General features: G+C 44.0%; 1 protein-coding gene across 10 annotated transcripts in view; it reads left to right on the top strand.

Annotated features, from left to right (window-relative positions):
* CSMD2 (CUB and Sushi multiple domains 2) overlaps positions 1 to 27090 on the top strand; it is a 651845-nt gene that overhangs the window by 612804 nt on the left and 11951 nt on the right. For 5 of the 10 annotated variants that reach the window (XM_047443656.1, XM_047443666.1, XM_047443607.1 and 2 more), the window contains 10 exons: positions 2689 to 2862; positions 6820 to 7002; positions 10143 to 10319; positions 11730 to 11909; positions 12341 to 12514; positions 15430 to 15603; positions 15944 to 16017; positions 19132 to 19243; positions 19810 to 19989; positions 25778 to 25843. In XM_047443656.1, coding sequence (XP_047299612.1) covers positions 2689 to 2862; positions 6820 to 7002; positions 10143 to 10319; positions 11730 to 11909; positions 12341 to 12514; positions 15430 to 15603; positions 15944 to 16017; positions 19132 to 19243; positions 19810 to 19989; positions 25778 to 25843 — 1494 coding nt within the window. Of the gene's footprint in view, positions 1 to 2688; positions 2863 to 6819; positions 7003 to 10142; positions 10320 to 11729; positions 11910 to 12340; positions 12515 to 15429; positions 15604 to 15943; positions 16018 to 19131; positions 19244 to 19809; positions 19990 to 25777; positions 25844 to 27090 lie in introns of those variants that run through there. The other 5 variants (XM_047443685.1, NM_052896.5, XM_047443642.1 and 2 more) reach the window with 2 other exon arrangements.

Here is a 27090-nt window from a genome sequence, read left to right as displayed (position 1 = left end):
TAAAAAGCATGTAATTGTGATTTTTAAACCCTATCTGACAATCTTTTCTTTCAAGTGGAGGATTTAATCCATTTGCATTTTTTCTTTCTTTTTCTTAGTGAAATATAATTCACACACCATAAAATGCATTCTTTTAATGTATACAATTCAGTGATTTTAGTGTATTCGCAAAGTTGTACAAGTATCATCACTGTCTAATTCCAGAACACTTTCATCATTCCCAAGCAGCCCTTAAAAGTCACTCCCCATTGCCCACCCCACCCCAGCTTCTGGCAACCTCTAATGTACTTTTCTGTCTCTGTGGATTTACCTATTCTGGACATTTCATATAAATGGAATTATATGTGTGTCTTTTGTGTCTGGCTACTTCCACTTAACATAAAATTTTCAAAGTTCATCCACGTTTTAGCATATATCAATACTTTATTCCTTTTGGCCAAATACTATTTCATGGTATGAATATACCACATCTTGTTTATGCATTCGACAATTGATAGATGAACTGGGACTATTATGAACATTTCCACTTTGGGACTATTATGTTTCCATTTTTTAGCTATTATGAATTATGCTGGTTTGAACATTTGTGTATAAGTTTTTGTGTGAACACGTTGTCAATTCTCTTGGGCATATACCTTGGAGAGAAATTGCCAAGTCACATAGGAACTCTATATTTAACTTTTTGAGGAACTGCCAAACTGTTTTCCAAAGTGGTTGCACCATTTTCCGTTTCTACCAGCAGTGTATAAGGATTACAATTTCTCCATATTCTTTCCTATGCTTGTTATTGTTCATCATTTTTATTATAACCATCCTAGTGGATGCAAAGTGCTATCTCATTGTAGTTTACATTTGCATTTCTCTAATGACGAATCGTGTTAAGCATATTTTTATGTGTTTACTGTGTAACAAATCATAGTGACTTAATGCAACAGCCATTTTCTTGCTTATGATTGGCAATTCTGGCAGGGTTTAGTAGAGACAGCTCATCTCTGCCCCACATGTTATTGGCTGTTGTGGCTCAGGTGGGCCTAGAAGATCCGAGATGGCCTCACTCATATCTTGGCACTGGCTGTCAGCTGGGGCATTGTGATTGTCCATGGTCCCTCCCCTCATATGAGTTCTTGTCATTCCGTAGTCTCTGCCAAACTTCCTTACATGGTGGCATAGTACTCCAAACAGGGAAGGTAGAAGCTGCCAAGCCTCTTAGGATGTAACCTGGCTCAACATCACTTCCACCATGTTTTGTTATTCAAAGCAAGTCACAAGGCCAGCCTGATTCAAGGGGAGGGGAAAGGGGAAAAAGACTCCACTCCTTGATGGGAGGAATTGTTAGTAGCAGCAGTCTTTGCAGATAATCTACCATAAGCATTTAGAACAATGTTTGACCCATATTAAGACCACATTGAGAAGTGAAGATACCTAAGACCCATTCTTACCATCCCAGTACCTACCAAAATTCATCATCAGGGTCAGCACTGGCCCAACCCAGGTTTTACCACTTGGTCACCTGTTGTGGTCTGCCTGTATGCTATGCCCTGTGGGCTTTCTGGGTATGATGTCTACAGGGATCTCCTACCAGACTCCAAGACATTATCATCTCTCCTTGAACTACTGCAACAGCTCCCTCTTTCTTGTACCACCTGGTCCTTTCTCTACACAGTAGCCAGTATAATCTTGTTAAAATGTAAATCCGATCATATAACTCCAGTGGCTTCCCAAGATGCTCATAATAAAATCCAATTTTCATGCCATGATCTGGCTCATAGTGACCTCTCCACCCTTGTCTTCTTCCATTCTGTCCTGGCTCATTCCAGTCCCAGCATCCTTGGCTTCCTTGCTGTCTCTCAAACACAGCAAACTCACTCTGGCCTCTGGCCCGTTATACCTGATGTTCCATCCCCAACAATACTCTTCTCCAAAATTTTGCATGGCTGGCCTCTTCACATCATTCAAGTAACTTCTCAAAGTCACTTGATCTTCCCAAACACACGGAGTGTCTAGCACATGACAGGGACTCAATAAATGTGTGTTGAGTAAATGAGAGAATCTTAGGATCAACCTGTGATCCTGTGACAAGACCAATGGGAAGACCAGCCCCAGTAATGTTGAAAGCATTACCCTTGCCTAGACATCTCAATTCTGGTGTTCTATCTTCTCACTTGTTTTCACAGCTATACTTCAGTATTTTAGTAAAGGGAACTTGCATACTGAGAGGGACAGGTTGGGGACAACTGATGAGGCAACTGTAAGATGCAGATGGAAAAGGGCTATAATTGGCTTTCATTCTGGAATCCTTGGCCAATGAAGACAATCTGAGGGTGACAGAGCTCCCATTTTTGTCTTGTGTATACTCTGCGTACCACCTTCCTGCCCAGAGACATCATGAGTATGAGGAAATAGGGAGAGGTAAGCATAAGAGGCAAGAGAGAAAACAATCTAATGTTATTGTATATCTGCTACATGCTGAGAAGGTATTATTCCTCATTTCATAGATATGGAAAACTGTCCCCTGAGTGGACATTGTCTGCCAACGCCAGGTGGGCATGCCAGCAGGAAGTTTGCTTCAACAGATACCCTTGGGTTTCTCTTCTTCCCAGCCTCTTGCTTAAAGAAGCCTAGCATGGATTGTGTGATGGTGAGCCATCCCTGTGCAGAGTCATTGAGATGTTTGCTTTTCCCCCACAGTGGTGTCCTGTGGCCATCCGGGCTCCCCGCCTCACTCCCAGATGTCTGGAGACAGTTATACTGTGGGAGCAGTGGTGCGGTACAGCTGCATCGGCAAGCGTACTCTGGTGGGAAACAGCACCCGCATGTGTGGGCTGGATGGACACTGGACTGGCTCCCTCCCTCACTGCTCAGGTATGGTGCATGGCATTGAGGAAAGAGCTCCAGTGGAATGCTTGACTGATGGGAGGTAGACGAGCCCCCAAGGTGTGAGTGTGATTGATGGATGGGAGGGAATCAGACCTCAGAACCCTTATATCTACCCTAACAGGTAGAAAGCACAGCAAGACAAGGTCCCAATGGAGCTTCAGCTTCTGGTGGGCTGAGCCCTGCCTTATCCCCTCAGTCAGCCCTGACCATGCCCAGGGATTGCAAAACTAGGAGGGGCACAACTTTTTAGGTCAACCTATGGCCAGAGTCCTGTCCAGACACTTGATTTTATGAGTTCCTGGGGACAGTTCAAGTCTTCCTGTTGATCAGCTCAGGTCCAAGCCCACTCCTGTGTTCTTTTCTTCTCTGTTTCAGACTCGTGCTCAGGTCCAAGCCCACTCCTGTGTTCTTTTCTTCTCTGTTTCAGACTCGTAGGCCCCAGCCTCCTTCCCTTTCTTATCACTGCCCCTCAACTTGTCCTATGTCCTGGCTACCTAGTGGGGTACAGTCTTCTTCTCTACTGCCTTGAAACGCCAGTCCCCAGACTTTTCCTGTTAAGTTCCTTTTACTGCTAATGAGGACACTGACAGATGCTATCAAAATCGCAAATGTAGAGAACTGCCAAAGGTCCTATGTCCACAGTATCCAAACCAGAAATGAATGTGTAATGCCATATAGCAGAACAAAATTTTGCAAGTGAATTGTCCTGCCAATAGCAGAAACCACCAAGCTAAAATATTAGTGCCTTGCAGCTTTGTCTTCTTTGAGGGGGACCTGCCTGGCCCTAGGAAGGGATTCCATGTTGCCTGCAAGAGGGAGCTGCTTGTGCAGCTTGATGTTCCTCGGAGGGCCCACCTTGGCATTGAAATTAACCCGTAACCCTTCCCATGCCAGATCCCTTCAGAGGAAAGGATCATGACCTCCTCCTAATACAGAAGCCTTCTCCTTGATGTAGGACCTTACCCATAAGATGTGCCACTGTTCTTGCAGTTTGACATTCCCAGATGAGCCTGCCTCCCAAAAGTTAGGTCACTGCCAGAATATTTAATGAGATATTCATTAGATCTCTCCAGAAAGAAAAGAGTCCCAAAGCCACTATTTCAAAGGGCTGTTGGTTGCCCAGGAAATCCCAGACACATCACTCTATATGACCACCCAGGACTTTGGCCTCTCACCCCTATTAATCTCATTAAACACCTAATTAAGGAACCGGGCAGGACTATATAGGAGCCATGATGACTCATTTAGCTGGGCTAGAGGAAGGCCTATTAACTGTGCCCTGGCTTCTTTCTGTTTGGACATCTGGTAGAAGTGATAGGCAATACAGCATGAGAGGACAAGGGTCATGTACATTGCCTCTCCAGCCTCCCTGGAGCTCTCTGAAAACAGAATTAGAAGGAATTCAATGTACGCAAAGGCTAGACAATGAGTGAACCTTAAATCCCTTGGATGAGAACATAAGGGATGAGAAGAATAGGCAATTAGGAAGTAACATTAGGTATATACCACAGATATAGAGATAGTTCCTCCCTTCCTGAAACAATGTCGTCTTTTGCAGTGGCATCTCCTGCCAGTCCTATGAAATACACATTCATGAATTCCAGGTCAAAGTTTTTAGTCTCATTGTGTGCAAGCAGTGGACCCAACTGTTGCACAACAAAACCTCTTAAGTCCTTGAGTCATACACCACTGGGCCACCAAGGCTATGGAGAGATTTCTGGAGTTTGAGACCTACTTCAAGAAGTTCACCACCCACATCTCCACTGTCATTCTCTTTGCCTCTTCGGTAAATAGTTGCCATCTATCTACTCTGCCCCCATGGTGCAATATCCTGTCCAGACTCCCTTCCATCACTGAACTAGAAGCCTCCAATACTGTAGTGGGGGCCATTCTTTCAGAAAAAGCCCCTAGGACTGAACACCATTGTATTAGTCTGTTCTCATACTGCCAAAAGACATACCTGAGCCTGGTAATTTATAAACAACAGAGGTTTGATCAACTCACAGTTCTGCAGGCTGTACAGGCTTCTGCCTCTGGGAAGGTCTCAGGAAACTTACAATCATGGCAGAAGGGGAAGCAGGCACATCTTCACACGGCTGTCAGGAGAGGGAGAGCAAAGTGCAACACACTTTCAAACAACCAGATCTCATGAGAACTCACTCACTATCACGAGAACAGCAAGGGGGAAATCCACCCCATGATCCAATCACCTCTCACCAGGTCTCTTCCCCAACCTGGGGATTACAATTCAACATGAGATTTGAATGGGGACACAGAGCCAAACCACGTTAACCATCTTGTGCCTATTTTACAATAGTGCTAGCTCCAGCTGAGGTTAGCTAGCCAGTGTGTGGGTTAGAGCTGCTCACCATCAAGATTGTTTCCAGGGAGACCCAGTTCTGCCTGTTGTGTGAATTACATCCTGGCAACCTTCAAAAGATAAGAAAACCTAGCCAAATGCGATAAGCTCTCTTTTATTAATGTTTACATTGAAGGTTGAAAATGAATCCCTCTTCCACAGTGGGAAACAGAATGGAGAACATGTGGTTAGGTAGTGTCTCACAGTCTGAGTCGAGACTAGGAAAGGGAATAATCCCAAGGTTGAGAAGTGGAAAAGACATAAATGGCAAGTGGTGGGGTACACATGACTTAAACATTTATTGGCTCCAGCCAACTAGATGTGGTCACTCAGATGTTACCATTTGATGCCCACACATGGTTACATGAGGAGATAGATTCCATGATAGTTGTAACTTTATCTTTTCATGCAGTTGTCATTTATTCGGTAATTGTTCTCCTCTTTCCTCATGTTTACCATGGCCTGGTCTGATCTAAGGACATCTCCTACACATTTCTGTATCATGAAATGTGTTGGCCCTGCAGGGGACCATAGATCTTGTGGCTTTGTCTCCTGTTCTCTACCCTTCTTCGCTCCTTGGGTCCTTGGAGGTCTCTTGAGTGGGTTTGCACAATACCAGAAGCCAGAGAAATGTAGGAATGTAGCAAGAGGAAGGGGGTGAAGCAAAAATGAAATGAGAGGGTCTGAGATGTTTATTCTAGAGCTCACTTGTATGGCATAATTTGTGAGTAGGGAATCCTTAATGAAAGGCCCAGCATCGATCACCTTGAATATTTATCATTTCTTTGTGGTGAGAACATTTAAAATTCTCTCCTACAGCTACTTGGAAATATACAATACATGCATCAAAACATCACTTCCTACCCCATAAATATGTACAATGATTATTTGTCAATTAAAGATAAAATGAAACTTTTTAAAAAGTAATAAATAAATAAATAAATGCCCAAGATCAAGATTCAAGCTAGGCGGTTAAGAAATGAAGCTATGCTAAGCAGTTTGGACTTTATCCTATGGCATCGGGGAGCCAGTAAAGATGTTTCTGCAGGAAAAAATTTTTTGAAAAAAAAAAAGGTCAGATGGTTAGTGATTGTTAAGATTAGAGGACAAAGTAGAAGATGGATTAGAGGGAGAGTTTACAAGGAGGGGACATTAGTCGGGAGGCTCTTGCAAGAGTTCAGGCAAAAGAATGTTGAATGTCTAAGCTAAGACAGTGGCACAGGAGAGGAGATGGGACTACAGAATCAGCAGGTGTTTGTAGAGAAGAGGGGAAGGGGAGAAGGAGGACCTGTGGCCAGTTTGGATCACTGAAATTCCAGACTGGCACGGGCCACAGAGCCTTTCCTCTGCCTTCTTGCTTCCCCTCCCTGTGTGGTTCCCAGGGACTTACCCATGGCCTCAGATCTTTGTGTTCTTCCACCATTGCATATGGAGGCAGGAGCATGTGCAGGTAACTTGTGCTAGGCCTCATTCGTGGGACCCACTGCATCCCCTTAGTCCCATCCCAGTATCTTTCTCCCCTGCTTCTCCACTCCCTTTTCTTCCCTGAAAAATAATGGGATTTGTGTGGTTCTGGTCCATAGGAACCAGCGTGGGAGTTTGCGGTGACCCTGGGATCCCGGCTCATGGCATCCGTTTGGGGGACAGCTTTGATCCAGGCACTGTGATGCGCTTCAGCTGTGAAGCTGGCCACGTGCTCCGGGGATCGTCAGAGCGCACCTGTCAAGCCAATGGCTCGTGGAGCGGCTCGCAGCCTGAGTGTGGAGGTAATGTATGTGACCATTCTGCTTCTCCCCTTTGCCCAGCCCCAGAGCTCGCCCCTGCTCCTGCTCTTATTCCCAGGCACCTGCGCTCACAGAAAAAAACCGTGGCCCCATTTGAACCCTCAGCCTGGCTGATAGGACTGCAACAGATAATTCATGTGCATTTTCATTAGTAATCAAAAGACAAACATATTCCCACTCTCACCTCAAAAGGGAAGAAATCAAAAAAGACTGAATTTGACCCACTATTTCATTCATTTCCCATATAGTTTCATTCAGCATCTATGTGCCAAGTGCTGTGGAATGTGCTGGGGACACAATGGTGACCAAGACGGACACTGCCATGGTCTGGATATTTGTGACCTCCCAAAAATCATATGTTGAAACCTGGTCACCCAGTGATAGTATTAGGAAGTGGGGTCTTGGGAAGTTGTTAGGTCATGGAATGGGATTAATGCTCTTATAGAGAAAAGAAAATACCTTAGAATGCTCCCTTTCCCTTGTGCCATGTGAAGACACAGCAAGAAGGCACCATGTCCAAGCCTGAACAGACGGAGACACACATCTTGATCTCCTGGGGCTTACAGTCTAAGGGAAGAGACTACGTGAAACAAATATTCAATGTGCCAAAAGATATACAAATCCAATTTTAGAAAACTCTCAAAGTAATCTAGGCCCTCAGTGATGTTGCCTGAGGTAGCACCAATGGGAGAAATTATCATTTTTCCATATATTCCTAAGTTTCTGGGGAAAATGTATATTTTTAAATCTCTCTCTCCTCTTGCAGTTGGTCCCCAAATCTCTCTGTCTCTCTCTTTCTAAAATACAGCTTGCATAGTACTCTCCTAGGCAGGAAGCAGGCTTAACAGATGAGAGTAAGTTTGAGTGAGAAGATCTGGAAGAGGAAGGAGATAATCATTTAGCAAGATACAAGTGGAATGGAATTGGGAAGTGTGTAATGGCCAGGCAGCACTGAGCGCTCACTTAAGGTGGGGGGATCATTAATTTAAAGTGAGAGCAGTCAGCATGGGACCATGTTTTTGTTCAAGCTCATTTTGCTACCTAGTTGTGGGCACAGAGCAGACAGTGCATTGGGTACAGAGCTGGAGATTTGACAGGCAACTAAGACATTGGCAGAAGTGGCAAGGGAAAAGAGGGTGAATGTGAGGCAGAGATTATATGTGTATATATATATATATATATATATAAATGCACAGTGGTCAAGTCAGGGCATTTACAGTGTCCATCACTCAAGTACAATACATTTTTGACTATAGTCTCCCTACTCTGCTATCAAGCATTGAACTTATTTTTTCTTTCTAACTGCATGTCCATGCCCTTTAACCCACTTCTCTTCATCCTCCCCCTCCCCTGACTCACCCTTCCCAGGCTCTATTATCTGTTTTTCCACTCTCTACCTCCACGTGATCCCCATGTATTTTCAATTTAAGAAGTTATTTTCACAGCTCTAACTCTAAAAGTCTAGAATCAATGACCAGATCAGTGGCAATGAGTACTCTTACTGCCTGGATTGTGGTCCATTCTCCATTAAAAGAAACTAGACTCTCTGGAGAAATGGCTAATTCCCGGGCTGGTGCAGGAAATATACAAGACAAATATGGAGGCCGGGCGCGGTGGCTCACGCCTGTAATCCCAGCACTTTGGGAGGCCGAGGCGGGTGGATCACGAGGTCAGGAGGTCGAGACCATCCTGGCTAATACGGTGAAACCCCGTCTCTACTAAAAATACAAAAAAAAAAAAAAAAATTAGCCGGTCGTGGTAGCAGGCGCCTGTAGTCCCAGGTACTCGGGAGGTTGAGGCAGGACAATGGCATGAACCCGGGAGGCGGAGCTTGCAGTGAGCCAAGATAGCGCCACTGCAGTTCAGCCTGGGCGAAAGAGCGAGACTCCGTCTCAAAAAAAAAAAAAAAAAAAAAAGACAAATATGGAACATCTTGTCACTCCAGCGAGGATTCCACCAAAGATAACTGAGGTCATGTTAACTGGACTCAGGAGCCAACTAGAAGAGGCTCCTATTGGCTAAAGATGGAGAATCTGAGCATCAATAAGAATAATAATGGCAATGGATGGGAACATAAAAAATATCTTTAGATCCATGAGTTCAAAATGATTCTTAAATAAACACATTGGTCACCTTTGGAGTTTGCTAGGAAACCAACTCATTATTCTGACATTTGATTTAAAATAAAAACCACACACAAAAAATCAAGCATTATCTGGCGTTCCTATATGAACAGTATTTCAGGGTAAGCAAATATTTGATGATAGAAAATGTCTTTCCTAAAGAACTCTAGCTAATGCAGAAAGAAGGATAGAATTAGAATATCACCACTTTCCAATCCCTAATGAAATAATGAATCTGGTCAATGACTGCTAAAACTATTAAATGAAAAACTTCATAATGGAAACTTCATAATGCCACATTAGGCAGGCATGCCCGAAATCACTGATGAGCCTCAACATCATGAACAAGAAAACACCCAGACATTCTTTGCTTCTTATCCAATGCAATAGGAGAGGCCCAAAACCACCTATGAATACCATTGCCAAAAGGCGGAACTTGATTACAGGAAGGAACTACAGGGGATAGAGGAATATGTTAAACTATATCTCATTGATGCAGTTAGCAAAATCCAGAAAGTGTGAAGTTCTATAGGACAGATGTTCTGGTTTCTGTAACAAATAAATTATAGAAGCAGAAATAATCATCTCTGGGTTCAAAGTCTTAGAGACGTGTCAACCAAATGTCATGTGTGGACCCTATTTGGATCCTGATTCAAACAAATCAACTGTTAAAAAAAGAGAAAAACAACTGAGGAAAATCAAGCACTGATTGGATATTTGGTGATATTAAGCAATTGTGTTTAAAATTTTAAGGACGATAATAGAATAGATCATCTTTTTTCTGTAAAAAACTGGAATTTGCTCAGAAATTTCAAAAGATTCATAGGGGTCTCTCCTTCCTGTCTAGGGGCAAGATAATTCGATACAAAAGCAGCATGAGAGGCATTTCTATCCACGAGGTCCCGAGGTAGCATGTGGCTTCCACTCTGGGCAGTTATCAGTCCCCTAGGTGATACCCACCATTGTTCTGGTGAATAATGTGTATTTTTGTCTTCCTAGTGATCTCTTGTGGGAACCCTGGGACTCCAAGTAATGCCCGAGTTGTGTTCAGTGATGGCCTGGTTTTCTCCAGCTCTATCGTCTATGAGTGCCGGGAAGGATACTACGCCACAGGCCTGCTCAGCCGTCACTGCTCGGTCAATGGTACCTGGACAGGCAGTGACCCTGAGTGCCTCGGTGAGAGCTCAGGCCCTACGGGTTCCATGGCCAACAGTGGCCCAGATCCTGCATGCCAGAGGAGAAGGCTATCCATGGAAGATGGTGCAGAATGGTTGGGATGGTCGGACTTGAACCTGAACGATAATCATATGAATAGCCTCTGTTGAGCATATGCTATGTGGCAGCCACTGAGCGAAGTACTTTATTTCATATGCACATTTCATTTGATCTTCACCATAACTCCGTAACTCCGTGAAGTAGCTACTATTATCCCCATTTTGTATATGAGATGGCTGAGGCTCAGAGAGGCAGAGAATATATGTTGGCCATTTCTCAGGCTCTAGCCAATTCCTTGGGCTTTCCCTTTTATCTCTTAGAATCAAACCCCAGAGCTCAACCTGATTCTCTTTTCACTTCAAAGATGCAGCTATCTGCCATCTTTGTTGCTTCGTTCTGTCCTTGTACCCGACCCCACCCAGTACGGGTTCCTGAGCACGGTGTAGCCTCACAGCTCCAATTTCTTGCTTCTCTCAAGGGTAGTCCCAGTTCTTTTCTGGGAAAAGTGAGTCACTGTGGGATCCAGATGGAGGGAAGAGATAGGATGAGGAAATGTGACAAGATTCTCCCTGTCAAAGTCCTAGTCTGTGATTTCGACTCCCTCTGAAATCCCGTGTCAAGTTCACTTTGGTTTTGAGACCAGAGCTCACCAAGCCCCACCCTCAATGATATGATGACATAGGCATGACCCTTTCATGGGCCATAAGACCCTGCTTCCAGGCTGTTGTCCCTAGGAGTCCTGTGTAGGTGCTGTTGGGCCTACAGAGGCCTCGTAGGTACAACAGCAGGTGATAAGATGTACCCCTCAGCAGACAAATCAATTGTCTCATGTGGTTCATTAATATACCTTAGGTTCTTCAAACAGAAAACTCCCTTTCCCTGGGTCCTAGCCTCATTTAGGAACTGAGCCCTCTGGATACTTCCTCTTAGAGGGGGCACTTTGAATAAGGTGAATCTTCATAGCCCAAGTTGCAGCGGTGCATAAGGACAGTGTGGGCAAGGACAGGACTGATGCCAGGGATTTGACAAAACAAAATTTAAAATGGGCAAGCTGGGTGTGGTGGCTCATGCCTGTAGTCCCAGCTACTCAGAAGGCTGAGGTGGGAGGATTGCATGAGCCCAGGAGTTCGAGGCTGCAGTGAGCCATGACTGTGCCTCTGCACTCCAGCCTGGGTGACAGAGTAAGACCCTGACTTAAAAAAAAAGAAATTTAGAATGGGTAATGTCCAACTGGGATCCTGTGAGGAGACAGGGCATCCCTGATCTGACAGTTTCCCTTCTTGGATGCATGCAGGGAGTGATAGGGATGGTATTGGAGGAGAAGTGGGGTCCTGGCCAGGAGTGAACAATGCTATATCTCTCTTATCCTAGTCATAAACTGTGGTGACCCTGGGATTCCAGCCAATGGCCTTCGGCTGGGCAATGACTTCAGGTACAACAAAACTGTGACATATCAGTGTGTCCCTGGCTATATGATGGAGTCACATAGAGTATCTGTGCTGAGCTGCACCAAGGACCGGACATGGAATGGAACCAAGCCCGTCTGCAAAGGTGTGTCTGGGGCTGCAAATGTGGACAGAGAGCCAAAGAAGATACAAAAGTGAGATGTAGGCCCTGAGCATCTCTCTAGAAGGGAGAGGGGTGAAAGGCCAGCCCTAACATCTTATCAGGGGATGTGCAAGGTGAGAAAACTGGCCCCTGAACATCTGCCAGGAGTGAATCAGAAGTACCAAAATAAGGCCTGGGCCATGAACATTGAGGGGAGGGTCCCGCAAACAGAGGACTGGGTTGTCACACTTGAGAGAGGGCATTGTAAGGTGCAAAAAGATCAGAACTCCCACAGTAAGAGGGCCCCATTCTGGTTCTTCCTGTTTAGCCCAGGCTCTAGGTGGGTGCAGGGTAGTCGGTGATATCAATGATGGTGACGGGGGCTGGTTTCCCAGGACAGCATCAGAACTCAGCCTGCTTTGGTCTCCCTCCAGCTCTCATGTGCAAGCCACCTCCGCTCATCCCCAATGGGAAGGTGGTGGGGTCTGACTTCATGTGGGGCTCAAGTGTGACTTATGCCTGCCTGGAGGGGTACCAGCTCTCCCTGCCCGCGGTGTTCACCTGTGAGGGAAATGGGTCCTGGACCGGAGAGCTGCCTCAGTGTTTCCGTAAGTTGCTTACAAGGGCCTTTGGTGCATCCTCTTCAATAGCTCCTTCCCCTTGCCTCCTCGGAGCTTTGTGGCTGGAAGGCCCAGAATAGGTAGTCCCCTCCCCAAAACCAGGGAGGAGCTTCATCAAAGACACTATTAAAGAGGGAAGGAAGTGGAAAGGAAGAAAATGAGGATCCCTTAATTGAGCCCTGGTGTCAGATACTGTCTATGGTAACAGAAGGAAATTAAGCTAGAGATATTGGGGGTGTTTTTTTTTTTACCTGAAGGGTTGTTAACTGTATGGAATAGTACTCCAAGATCTGAGGGTTCCCAGTGCTATATACATGTCTGTTTTCATGAAAAATGACCTGCACAGAAAAGACTTCTGGGAAACCTGTGATTTTCTGGTGAGTTGCTTTATTTTTTATACACCTGGCCCAGTTGTATCCTGAGGAGCCCCAAATCTATTCCAGGGCTTACTCTTTACTGAGATCCCCAGTAAGCAGGTTCTGGGTCACTTATTCTTGTCACACCCTGTGAATGGGCTCTGGAAGGTTTTCTCCATGCCCGTGCTTTGGGCAAACAGTAGGACGTATTTTTCTAATTGCCATTTATCTAATTCTGCAGAAAACTATCCACATACTCATGATACTGTTTTGGGTTCCTCTGAAAATTTGCTTCCATCTGGGGATTTCCTCAGAGATTAGGGCCAGCAGCTCAAAACTGGACACAGGTATTTGGTGCAATGTTACCCTTTCCAACCTTCACATACTACCAGGGTCAAGTCTGGACTCAGCCACCTTGCTTTTCCTCTGGAGAAATAGCTGAAGTGCCTTTTAACAATGAATTATGGTCATCATGAAAAAAATTTTACCCATTAGAAAATACAAAAAAGAAAGTAAAAGTCATCTGAACTCACACTTTCCAATGATAACCACAGTTCAGCTTTTGATGGTGTCCCGTGTGAATCACTGTGCATTTTTGAATAGATAGTGATATGTATACATTTTCTAGAACTGGTATTGGCTCATGCTGTACATACTGTTTCATAACTTGTATTCACTGATAGGCCACCAAAACCTTTCCATCAATACCTTTCTACCTTTCTTTATCAATATTTACTGATCTATGCATCATCATTTTTAATGGCTTTAAAGAATTTCCTTGTAGATACAAGTTATTTAATCTTTTTGCACTGGTGATGAATTTAGATTATCTCCAACTTAATCACGTTAGAAGCAGTTCTGCAATATGTATTCCTGAAAATTGCCTTTCTTGGCCGGGTGAGGTGACTCATGCCCATAATCTCAGCACTTTGGGAGGCCGAGGTGGGTGGATCACGAGGTCAGGAGATTGAGACCGTCCTGGCTAACAAGGTGAAACCCTGTCTGTAATAAAAATACAAAAATTAGCCGGGCGTGGTGGCGGGCGCCTGTAGTCCCACCTACTCGGGAGGTTGGGGCAGGAGAATGGCGTGAACCCAGGAGGCGGAGCTTGCAGTGAGCCAAGATCGCACCCCTGCACTCCAGCCTGGGCGACAGAGTGAGACTCCATCTCAAAAAAAAAAATGCCTTTCTTTACTCCTGCAGCAAAGCCCTAGGCATGAGAATGCTGGGCCGAGGGCAGTCATGCCTCCCTTCTTGACATATGTTGTCAAACTGTCTTCTAGAAACTGTCCCAATTTACATTCCCCACAGCAGTTAATGAGAATGTTTCTGGATGCACACCCTCATCAATAATGGATTGTGCCAGTATTTTTAAATATTTACCAGCCTGAGGAGCTTTAAAAGATCGCTCATTACTTTAATTGGCATCACATTGCTTATGAGAAAGGCCACGCTGGTTGCTCTTCACTTGTCAGCCGTTTGTGTTTCTGGTTCTTTCAGTTGCCTCCTTCTGGATACAGTAACTTCCCATCAATCGATTCTTAAACTGACTTCTAATTGGTCAGCATAGACACCCCAACCTTCAGGGCAGAGGATGCAGGTCCAGCTTCATTTTATTTTGCATGTGGTTATGTATCTCATGACTCCATATACACATACACACAGACACACACACACACACGCACACGCACACACATTTGCATCATAGCATAAAGCAATGCTTGAAGTGACATCGTGGTGAGCTTTGCCTTTGGTAGTCAATTTTTAATGGCACTGCCTGATGTTAACATGGCCTGAATGAAATGGGTACACCCATGCACTACCCACCGCAGTGTAAATGTGTACCCTTTGGGGAAAGACATTTGACACTACCCATCAAGAGCTGTGGATGTGTTCAGCCCTTTAAAAATAATAAGTTCACTCCTAGAGAATTCTCCTAAGAAAGTAATACATGTGAAAAGAAAAAACAAAAAAGAAAACAAAACAGGTGAAAGAAGAGTTATATATAACTGTATAATAGAAAATGCCCAATATAAGGATTATGATAAAATATAATTATGGTACAACCACCTGTTGCTAATTGTGTAGCCAATAAGCGATGATGATGTCATAAACATAGGAAATATTTACAAGATAATGCTAAGTGAATGAAACAAGATTTACGATCACATAGGCTTGGGTTTGCCGCTCCGCACAAGTTTCCATACAACTGAACAAAGATTGGAAAAGAATGTGCGTGAAAATGGAAAAAAAGTTTTGAATAGTGGGATTTTCGTTTATTTCTCTTTCATGTTCTAAACTTCCTGTAATGTTACTCCATTACTTGGATCATTATTAATAGGCACTTTGAATGTAGAAGGGAGAGGAAGCCCCCATCAGCAGCAGCACCGCAGCAGGTGGAAGCACCTACCTGGGGCTGCCCCGGTTCCCAGAGTTCAAGCTCAACCAGGAAGGGAGCAGTGCAAAGAACAAAGATGGGGGTGTGGGACTGGAAGATTGGGTTCTGGAAAGCAACTTAGACCTGCCTTTCTCCCTTCGTCTTCCCAGCTGTGTTCTGCGGGGATCCTGGTGTCCCGTCCCGTGGGAGGAGAGAGGACCGAGGCTTCTCCTACAGGTCATCTGTCTCCTTCTCCTGCCATCCCCCTCTGGTGCTGGTGGGCTCTCCACGCAGGTTTTGCCAGTCAGATGGGACATGGAGTGGCACCCAGCCCAGCTGCATAGGTGAGAGGTCATCTGGAGCAGGGAGCGTCTTGGCTGGGGTTGCGGGAGACCTTCTTTTGGGCCTGAGATGATTACTTTCCTTCCCTGTCTTCAGTGGTCTCATCTGCAAAAGGGAACATCTCATCCTCTGAGCTTCTGCAGCAGGATGTAAAATAGCCAGAGCTAGTGTGCTTCGAGGAGTCAAATAGACAGCCAGGGCCAAGGCTCAGGTGGGGATCTCAGTGGGCAGGGAAGTCAGGATGTGGCCGCATTTTCTTTTCTACACCTATTTCCCAGAGTGAGATGAGGCCGTGAAGGCTTCCATGACCATGTGATCTGTGTCTTTGTTTTGGCCATCCAGATCCGACCCTGACCACGTGTGCGGACCCTGGTGTGCCACAGTTTGGGATACAGAACAATTCTCAGGGCTACCAGGTAAGGAGGTCAGCCAAGATAGGGTCTTCCTACATCCTATCCCTTCTTGTCACTGTCAACATAAGAGGACCCAGAGACCTTCCTCAGGACAGCACTCAGGGAGGACAAGAGCTTGGAAAGCGCAGAAAGAAAGCCCTCTGCCTCTTTGAACAGTGCTCCATGGGAGCACCCTGCAGAGACAGCAGGACCCTAACATCCGTCAGAGAAACTGATGAGGAAGGACAGATGGCGTGCAGTTCCATGAACACTTCCCGGCAACCCCAGGCAGGGTGGTTGTGGAAATACGGAAATGAGTGAGACCTCTGTCCTCACGGTGCCCACCCCACCCACAGACACTGGGCTCATGCACAGTGGCAACGAGCATGTGCCACACAGGAGGCAGGCCTGTTGGCATGCCTGGCCCACCAGGACACAGGCCCTGCGGACACACCTCAGATGAGCTTTGGGAGGAGAGAACCTGGACAGTCTGGGTTGTGACACATTGAACAGAGAAAAGGATGGCCGGGTGCGGTGGCTCACGCCTGTAATCCCAGCACTTTGGGAAGCCAAGGCGGGTGGATCATGAGGTCAGGAGATCGAGGCCATCCTGGCTAATATGGTGAAACCCCGTCTCTACTAAAAATACAAAACATTAGCCGGGCATGGTGGCGGGCGCCTGTAGTCCCAGCTACTCGGGAGGCTGAGGCAGGAGAATGGCGTGGACCCAGGAGGCGGAGCTTGCAGTGAGCCAAGATCGCACCACTGCACTCCAGCCTGGGCAACAGAGCGAGACTCGGTCTCAGAAAAAAAAGAAGAGAAAAGAAAAGGAAGAATGGGTGTGTTCAAGGCAGGACAATTAGGTGGAGTCCAGGACTTGCCCAGGAAAATATCGGACTCACCTGGACATGACAGGCTGGGATCTAGTCAAGTAATGTGACTTATTCACTTAGTCTGTACTCACTCGGCACATGCTTATGGCCCTGAACTGTTCTAGGAGCTAGGAATACAGTGGGAACAGGACAGACTGGGTGCCTGTTTGAAGGGAGCTGCCTGGCTGAAGATGATAAATAAATAAACGAGCTAGCTTCTGAGAGCAGTAGACACGACACGGTGATTGATATAAAGGGGTGTGAACGGGGTGGGTTACCATTTTAGGAAAGGTGGTTAGGGAAGGGTGACATTTGAACTACGGCCTCCATGATGAGAAGGGCTAGCCCTGTGCAGAGCAGGGTGACATTCCTGGCTGAACGAAGGGCTGGTGCAAAGGAGTGCTGAGGGAAGTGCTTAGCAGCCTGGGGGCCTGGAAAGTAGGCCAGCTAGCAAGTCTGCAGCCCCGTGAGGGAGGATAAGGAAATGTAGTCAAGAGTGAGGCTAGGTTGGAAAACAGCTTGGTCCTGGTGTGTAAAGTTAAACATTCACACACTCTATGACCCAAAAGTTCCACCTCTGCAAACATATCCCAGAGGCACTCTTGCACATGTCACCAAGAAACAGGAAATTTGTGGGTATAGTCACGTGATGGATTATTATACAGCAAAGAAAATGAATGAATTACAGCTCTGCATGACATGGATGAATCTTAGAAACATACTATCAAGTGACAAAGGTGGCATGACACTACTTTTACAAATATTAAAACCAGCAAAAACTTACTAAATTGTTTAGAGGTATGTATGCACATATGTGATAGGATTGTTTTTTAACAAGGCAAGGAAATTAACACAAATTTCAAGACAGCCATTACTACGGAGGGGTGTTGAGGAACACAGCAGGGAAAGAGCCCCTAGAACATTACAACCATGTCCATAGCTCTTAAGTTGCATGGTGGATTCAATCTAAAATATCCATTTTATTATTATACTTTATATGTGTTCCATATATTATTTTGTGTATGTCGGATATCACATAATTTTTGCAAAGGCGGCAGCATGGGACAGGTCATGCAGGGCCTTGAAGCCATGATAAGTATTTTGGATTTTATCTAAAATGCCATTTGAAGGTGACACAATCTGATTCTTCATTTGAAATATTACTCAGGCTGCTGAGTAGAGAATGAATATCAGGGAGTTGAGAATAGATGCACTTAGGCAAGGAGGACACTGTTGTCATGACTCCAGGGAAAAAGAAGGTGAGAAGTGATCCTGAACGCTTGTTCGGGATACATTTTGTAGGCAGAACCAAGAGGACTCATTGATGGGTTGGATTGTGGGGTCGAAGGGATCAAAGATGACTTGAGGTTTTTTATTTGCACAACTGCATGGATAAAGGTGCCATTTGCTAAGTCAAATGATGAAATCCAAGACAAAAAAGTGTTCAGCATGGAAGAAGGGAGTGGAATTTAAGAGTTACACATTGCATTTGCACATGCTCCAGTAGGTAATAGGGACACATAAGTGTTTGAACTGGGAAGTAGTATAATCCGAGTTGCAGTATAGGAAACAGATCTAGCCGCATTACACCAAGTGGATTGGGTAGGGAGAGATGGAGCCCGTGGTTGCGGGGTGTCGAGTTGTACAGTGAGGGGCTGGTGGAGGGTTAAGGTAGGGAACATAACTGAGCAGAGCAGGGAGGGAGGGTGGCAGTTCGTTCAACAGATTCTATGGGGGCCATATCTGTAAAGACAAGTCTCCCATCCTTAAAGAATTTGCAATTTCATTGAGGAAAGGAACACACACACAATATTTAATTTGCACTCTTCTTCACATTTTGTAAAATGCTGTCAAATCCGCCATCACATTTGAGTGTCACAACATTCCAGTGTGATTGTGGCAAGGATGGTCATCCCCACTGTATCCTTAGGAAGACTAAGGTTTACAGAGTTCCATGCAGCCTGCCCTGAGTAAATGCAGAAGCCAGAACTCGGATCCAGGGTCTTCTGACTCTGAATCAGCCACCGTGTCCACAACAGAGTGTAATATTACAACTTTGTTCAGGGTATTAGATGAGGCCTTGTGGAGGAGGCATCCTATCAACTGCCTCAAAGGAAGAAGAAAATTTAACCAGGCGGAGAATCAGAAAAAGAGTTTTGCAGGCAACAGTGCGGGAGGAGTTGGGCCATGTGAAAGTGGTCAAGGGACAGACGTAGGAAGCACCGCTGAAAGGAAGGGGCTGATGGGACTTTGTATCTTGCCGCAGGTTGGAAGCACAGTCCTCTTCCGTTGTCAAAAAGGCTACCTGCTTCAGGGCTCCACCACCAGGACCTGCCTCCCAAACCTGACCTGGAGTGGAACCCCACCTGACTGTGTCCGTGAGTGCAGACTTCACCCACATCCCAAGAAAATTCCTCTTGCCCCAGCTGGGCATCTGGGTCATGTTTGAATGCTCTGAATGACAGGGAGTTCACAACTCCCCATGCGAACCGACATCGGTCTCTTTGTAGTCCTTACACTTTGGGGCCTCACAGAAGACTTCCACACAAAAGCCTTTCTGATATTGGAAGGCAATCCCTATGCCTTAGCAAAGAAAAAACTATCCAGTGGCAGCAGCAAAAACTAACAACTGCAAGGCCAGGCCTCAGGATGGAGATATCAAGCTTTTGACCCAGTTACTCCTTTACCCCTCAGGAAGTGCTGCAGGCTTAAGTTCCCCCAACTCAGAGTCAACCAAGCCGATATCCACATGATCTCCATCTTGGCCATTCCTCTAGACACAGAGCTTGGGTTAGGGTGGAGGATTAGGGAGGGGGATGCTTGGCATGAAAGGGACTGGAAGGGAAAGGAAGAGGATATTCTATCTAGGAACAGGGGAATGGTCGAAAGGGCCCCTGAAGCCCCTAATCTCCTCCAGTCCAACAGGGTCTTTCCTCTCATCCAGCCCACCACTGCAGGCAGCCAGAGACGCCAACGCATGCCAACGTCGGGGCCCTGGATTTGCCCTCCATGGGCTACACGCTCATCTACTCCTGCCAGGAGGGCTTCTCCCTCAAGGGTGGCTCCGAGCACCGCACCTGCAAGGCGGATGGCAGCTGGACAGGCAAGCCGCCCATCTGCCTGGGTGAGTGTGCCTGCTCGGGGAAGCTCTCCAGGGCGGGAGGCTGAAAGTGCTGGCTGAACTTGAGCTGAAAGAGGGCAAAAGAGAAGGAAGGAATTGCGTTTCAAGGAGCTGGATCCCGCTTCTGATTTTCTAAGGTTTTGAGTCTAGAAGAGCAAAGCAGAGCGGTCTAAAAAGGTGCATACTCAACCCACCCCAAGGGTTGCCCCTTTTGCCTGGGCTGAAACACTCACAGGATCACATTTCATCATCAGGCAGAGGAAAGTGCTTTCTTCCACCAAACTGGAGTGACGCATTACACATATTGCACCCTTGATAAAACAGCACCCGCCTGTAGGTCCCTTGGGGTTACCAGGATGTCCCAGACCTCCCTTCCCCTCTTCTTCATTCACTCGTTCTCTATTTATTGAGAGTTCATGTGGCCCCATGCTTGCGCTAGGCATGAGGGATTCAGAGGGGAAAGACACAACCCTGCCATGTGGAAGACAGACACGTTATCAGATTTTATATTTGGAGTACTTGGAGGAACATGGAGATGTGCCAAATGCTGTAGGAATGAGGAGGAAGGGCACTAAAGTGGGGGAAAGGAGAAGTCAGGGAGGACTTCCTGGAGAAGGTGATGTCTGAGTCCAGTCTTGAGGGAAAGGATTAAGGTTAAACGATTAGTTCAGTGCTGGAATAGCATTAAACTCTCTGATAGGCACTCACCTCACCAGATACCAGGCATTGTGCTAAATGCTTTGTATGTTTCAACTCATTTAATCTTCACAAGATCCTATGAGGCTATTTAATATATGAGGAAACTAGGGCATAGAGAAGTTAATTAATGTGTCCAAGGTCCCCAGCTGAGAAAGGTTAAGTGCTGAAGATCTATACCCTGATGGTCTAACTTTAGGATCTATGACTATTTTGCTATCCTGCCACTCAGAGGGAAGCCTTCAGGGTCAGAGACTATATCAGAGCTAGAACTTACTAACGGTGTTTTATTTTCATGGTATCACTTGGAAATTTCTTTTGTTTTCCACATACAGTAGTGATATAAAGTACATTTATTAAAGTACATTTAAGTTTTTATTGTGATAGAATATACATAATATACAATTTTAAGTGTACAATTCAGTGGCATTAGTTATGTTTATGATATTGCACAGCCATCACCACTATCCATTTCCAGAATTTTTTCATTATCTCGAACAGAAACTCCATACCCATTAAACAATAACTGCCCATTTCCCCCTTCTCTTAGCCCATAGTAACTGCTATCATACTTCCTGCTTCTGTAAATTTGCCTATTCTAAGTACCTCATGTTAGTGGAATCATACAATATTTGTTCTTTTGTGTCTGGCTTATTTCCCTTAGCATAATGTTTTCAAGATTTAACCATGTTGTGGCATCTGTCGGAATTTCTTTCCTTCTTATGCGTGAATCATATCTCATCATATGGACATCACTTTTTGTTTATCCATTCACCTGTTGATGGCTGTTTAGGCTGTTTCCACTTTTTGGCTATTACAAATAATACTTCTGTGAACATACATGTACATGTTTTGTTTTAATATGTTTTCAGTTCTCCTGGGGACATATCTAGGAAAACAGTAACTCTATGTGTAATATTTTGAGGAATTGCCAAAGTTTTCCAAAACTCTTGCACCATGTTATTCCCACCAGCAATGCATCAGGGTCCAATTTCTCGACATCCTTCCCCACACTTGTCCATCCTGTTTTAGTGTATCCATGATCAGTGGGTATAAAGTGGTATCTCATTGTGGTGTTTTTTATTGTTTGTTTGAATTTTCATCCAATTATTTTTTAATTGACAAATAAAAGTTGTATATATGTAGAGTGTACAGCATGATGTTTTGATATATGTATACATTGTGGAGTGGCAAAGTCATGTTAATTAACATATCCATTAACTTCATATACTTGCCATTTTTTGTGGTAAGAACACAAAATCTACTCTCAGTAATTTTCAAGTACACAGTGCATTGTTATTAACTATGGTCACCATGATGTACAAGAGATCTTGAACTTATTCCCTGTCTAACTGAAATTCTGTGCCCTTTGGCCAACATCTTTCCAATTCCAACCCCCCAGTACCACCCCACCCTAGCCCCTGGTATCCACTATTCTACTCTCTACTTCTATTAATTAGTTCAATTACTTTAGATTCCACAGATAAGTGAGATTGTGCAGTATTTGTCTTACCGTACCTGGCTTATTTCACTTAACATAATGTCCTCCAGGTTATCCCTGTGGTCACAAATGGCAGAATTTCTTTCTTTTTTAAGGCTGCATAGTATTCCATTGTGTATATATTCCATGTTTTCTTTATCCATTCATCCACTGATGGACACTTAGGTTGTTTCCGTATCTTGGCTATTATGAATAATGCCTCAATAAACATGAGAGTGCAGATATCTCTTTGACTTACTGATTTTGTTTCCTTTGGATATATACTCCATAATGGTATTGCTGTATCATATGGTAGTTCTATTTTTAATTTTTTGAGGAACCTTCATACGTTTTCCATAATGGTTACATTAACTTAAATTCCCACTAACAATGTGCAAGAGTTTCCTTTTCTCCACCTCCTTACCAACACTTGTTATCTTTAATCTTATTTATAATAGTCCTTCTAACAGGTAGGAGGTGATATCTCATTGTGGGTTTCACTTGCATTTCCCTGATGGTTAGTGATGCTGAGCATTTTTCATATACCTGTTGGCCATTTGTATGTCTTCTTTTCAGAAATGTCTATTCAGGTCCTTTGCCTGTTTTTAAATCAGGTTATCTATTTTCTTGCTATCGAGTTGTTTTAGTTCCTTCTATATGTTCCTTAGATGTTAATCTCTTACCAGATGTGTGGTTTGCAAACAATTTCTCCCATTCCACAGGTTGCCTCTTCACTCTGTTGATTGTTTCCTTTGCTGTGCAGAAGCTTTTCAGTTTGATGTAATCTCATTTGTCTACTTTTGCTTTTGTTGCCTGTATCATTGTGCAAAAATGATTTATATTTCCTTAATGGCTAATGGTGCTCAGCACTTTTTTATGTGTATGTCTTCCTTAGAGAAATGTCTATTCAAATCCTTTGTCCATTTTTTACTGACTTATCTTTTTATTGTTGAGTTGAAAGTGTTCTTTCTCTATCTAAAATACAAGGCCTTTATAAGGTACATGATTTGCAAATTTTTTCCCATTTCACGGGGTGTCTTTTCGCTCTCTTGTTGGTGTTCTCTGAAGCACCAGTGTCTTTAATTTTGATAAAATCTAACTTTTCTATTTTGGGGGTTGCATATGCTTTTGTTGTCATATCTAAGAAACTGTGATACATCCAAGGTCACAAAGATTTATGCCTATGTTTTATTCTTAGAGTTTTCTAGTTTTACTTCTTAGATTTATGTCTTTGATCCATTTTGAATTAATTTTTTATGATATTAGGTTAGAATCCAAACTCATTCTTTTTTATGTGGCTATCCAGTTGTTCCAGCACCATTTGTTGGCAAGACTATTCTTTCCCTGTTGAATTGTCTTGACACTCCCGTCAAAAATCATTTGACCATAAATGTATGAGTTTATATCTGGATTCTCTATTCTATTCCATTGATCTCTATGACTCTCTTTATGCCATTACCACCCAGCCCTGATTACTTTAGCTTTGTAGTAGGTTTTCAAATTGGCAAGTGTCCCAGTCTGGGCACCCTAGGGAGACTACATGTCTACAAAAAAATAAAAGTAAAGAAATTAGCCAGGAGTGGTGGTGTATGCCTGTAGTCTTAGCTATTCAGAAGGCTGAGGTAGGAGGTTCACTTGAGCCCAGGATTTGGAGGTTACAGTGAGCTATGATTACACCACTGCACTCCAGCCTGGATAACAGAGCAAGACTTTGTCTCTAAATAAAAATAAATTGTTTTAAATGAAAGAAAACAAAAAATATTGGGACGTATCAATTATCCAACTTTGTTCTTTTTTAAGACTGTTTGCCTATTGTTTTGCCTTTTGTTTCTATACAGATTTTAAGATTGGCTTGTCAATTTCTGCAAACTAGAGAGCTGGAATTTTGGCAGAAATTGCATTGAACCTGTAGATCAATTTGGGGAGTATTGCCATCTGAACAATATTAAGGTTTCCAAACCATGAACATGTGATGTCTTTCCATTTATTTAGATAATTAATTTCTTTCAATGATGCTTTATATTTTTCAGTGTACAAGTCTTGCATTTCTTTGGTTACATTTATTCTTAAATATTTTTATCTGTTATTATAGCTACTTTTATTTAAAAATATATAATGTTTTAGAGGCAGCTGAATTCAACCCATTACTGTATGATCTTGAGCAAGCCCTTTCATTTCTCTGCCTCTCAAAAAGTTTCTGTGCTATAAAATGGGGAAAATAATCTCTACTTCAGAGTTTCAAGAGCAGGAGGAAATGAAGAAGTGCCTATCACAGCACCTCGCACATAAGATGCTTTCTCCTTCTTTGCTCCATTCATCTTATGAAACCTAAGACGATAAAGCATTTTGTTCAGAAGTACACTTGCATTGAGTCACTGCAGAAACTTTCTCCACAGCATTCTGTGTACTGAGGCATAGGCTGACCTCCAGAGTTGAAGGAGATTTGCTAAAGCTGTGCTCCCCGCCAAGGCAGACAGTGGGGAGTCTGCCCTTAATGGCGACAAGGCAGATTTTCTATTGTTTCTCTGCAAAAGAAGAAAAGACATTAATACTTACTGGTCATGACTTTCCTGTTCATAACCTCATTTATTCAGCATAGACCTGTGAGGTATGTTTCAGTTTTTTCCAGGTTTCAAATGAGGAGGCAAAGACTCTGAGTGGTGAAGTTACTAGTCAAGGTCACGCAGTCATTAAGTGGCACTGCTGGGACCTGAACCTTGGCTGTCTGGCCCAGGCCCAAAGCTTTTGCCTTTGCTTTGCCTGTGAGGGCTTCTTGGTCTTAATCTCATCATTCCAAGGGAGGAAGGTGCTCCTCTGCAACCCCCACCAGGACTCACAGAGTTCACCGTTGATGGGTAGAAGTTCTTCCTTCATGCGAGGCATCTGGAAGAAAAGCAAAGTCGAGGGCAGGACTTTTTTTTTTTTTTTTTTTTTTTGAGACAGAGTCTCACTCCGTCACCCAGGCTGGAGTGCAGTGGCATGATCTTGGCTCACTGCAAGCTCCGCCTCCCAGGTTCACACCATTCTCCTGCCTCAGCCTCCGCAAAGTTTTCAATGAGGACATTCAGGGAGTCTGTGCACTTGGATGGGAAAATATACACCTTTTATTCCTTTACTTCTTACTGAAATGTAGCCTCTCCTTTAATTTGGAATGTAGACAACAACCCTTAGGAGTGTTAGCACCTGTGACTTTGTCACCAGTAGAAATTGAAAAGACTTTTGTATATATTCCAGTTGCTACCAATATCATGAATATTGTTCATGTTCCTGACTACTTCAAGATTATGGTTATTTCTTGACTCACTGCTAGATCCTGTTATTTAATGCAGTAATAAAGAATCATATATACCACTATATCCTAATGTCTTGTCTAATATTGTAAGAACTCCAACTAATAAAATGGACTTCCTCTGTAATTCTTTGTATTTTTTATTCTGAGAGGGATCCATAGCATCATTAGAGCATCAAAGCAGTCTACCTCCTGGTCTAAAAAAAATAAGGGGAAAGCAAGATCTCAAAGAACCCATTGACCTAAGGTCAGACAGGTGGTCATTATTTTTCCAACAGAGTGTGAACCAGAAGCTGAACCTGTTTTCTTCCACTCTTTTTCCCCAGCAGAGGTCCGGCCCAGTGGGAGACCCATCAACACTGCCCGGGAGCCACCGCTCACCCAAGCCTTGAGTACGTATGGTCCAGATCATTGGCTCAAGAAACTGGTGTTACTTTTTTCACACAGTTAGCCAGAAAACTCGTGTTGCTGAGAGTTGCTGAGTGCCTAGAGGAAGGGCATGAAAACTATCTATAAATCTGGATGGCTTTCCCTACCCACCTCCCCAGCCCAGGCAGACTTCAGAAGAAAGTGAGCCTGAAGGAAGCAGAAACTTCATCTGGAAGAAAGAGCCAGCAACTTCCAACTGGAAGCTCTGGAACTGTTGATTACTACAGCCCCTCCTGGCATAGGACTGGCCAGTGTGTGGTCATACAAACACATTGACCCAGGCCATACCCAGGGAGCTTCCTGGAAATGGTTACAGTTTAAGATAGGTCTGGGGTCTTTCCAAGTATCACATCCAGAACTGGACACAGACTGCAGATGTGGCCTGACCAATACCAAATTCTTAGAGACTATCACATCCTTTCATGAACCTTCTACTTTTATTTACCACATTAACATGTGTATTATGCAGGAAACGAGGCTAGATTTGGCATCAGAAACTCAATTTGAGTACCATTTTGGTCACTGACCAGCTGTGTCCTTGGACGAATGAGCTTCGCCTCTTAAGCTTCAGTAAAATAGAGATCATAATAATTGCCATAGAGAATGATTACAAGGATAAATGACAATTTTAGTAGCTATCACTGATTAGGTGCTTTTACACATGCAACATCATGTAACATACAATTTACAACATTAGTCATTTAACCCCTAGAATAACCCTGATAAGGTAGATGGGATGGCCACCATGTATAGGAATACAGGCATAGCCTATACAGGGAGAAAGTCAAGGCTTTTGCACATGATCAGACAACTGATAAGTGACAGAGCTAAGATTAGACTCTGGGTCTGTCTGACTTCATTTGCCCATGTTCCAATTCACCATGCTATACTGACATGTCAGTTTTCTCTCTCTTCTCCCCTCTTCCATTTCTCCATCTTTTAAACACCTTTCCTTTTCTCCTCCCTTCTTCTGTCACTCCTTTCTAGTTCCCTCTCTATATCTTTTTAAATATTTTAATTTTAATTGACAAATAATAAACATATTTATAGAGTACAATGTGATGTTATTCTATATGTATACATTATGGAATAAATAAATCAAGCTAATTAACATACCCATCATCTCACCTAATTATCATTTTTTTGTGATGAGAACATTTAAAATCTACTCTTTTGGCCGGGTGTGGTGGCTCACACCTGTAATCCCAGC

This window comes from Homo sapiens, chromosome 1 (assembly GCF_000001405.40).
Source record: "Homo sapiens chromosome 1, GRCh38.p14 Primary Assembly".
Classification (NCBI taxonomy): Eukaryota; Metazoa; Chordata; class Mammalia; order Primates; family Hominidae; genus Homo; species Homo sapiens.
The sequence above is the reverse complement of the archived record's forward strand: the minus strand, read 5'-3'. Positions and strand labels throughout refer to the sequence as shown.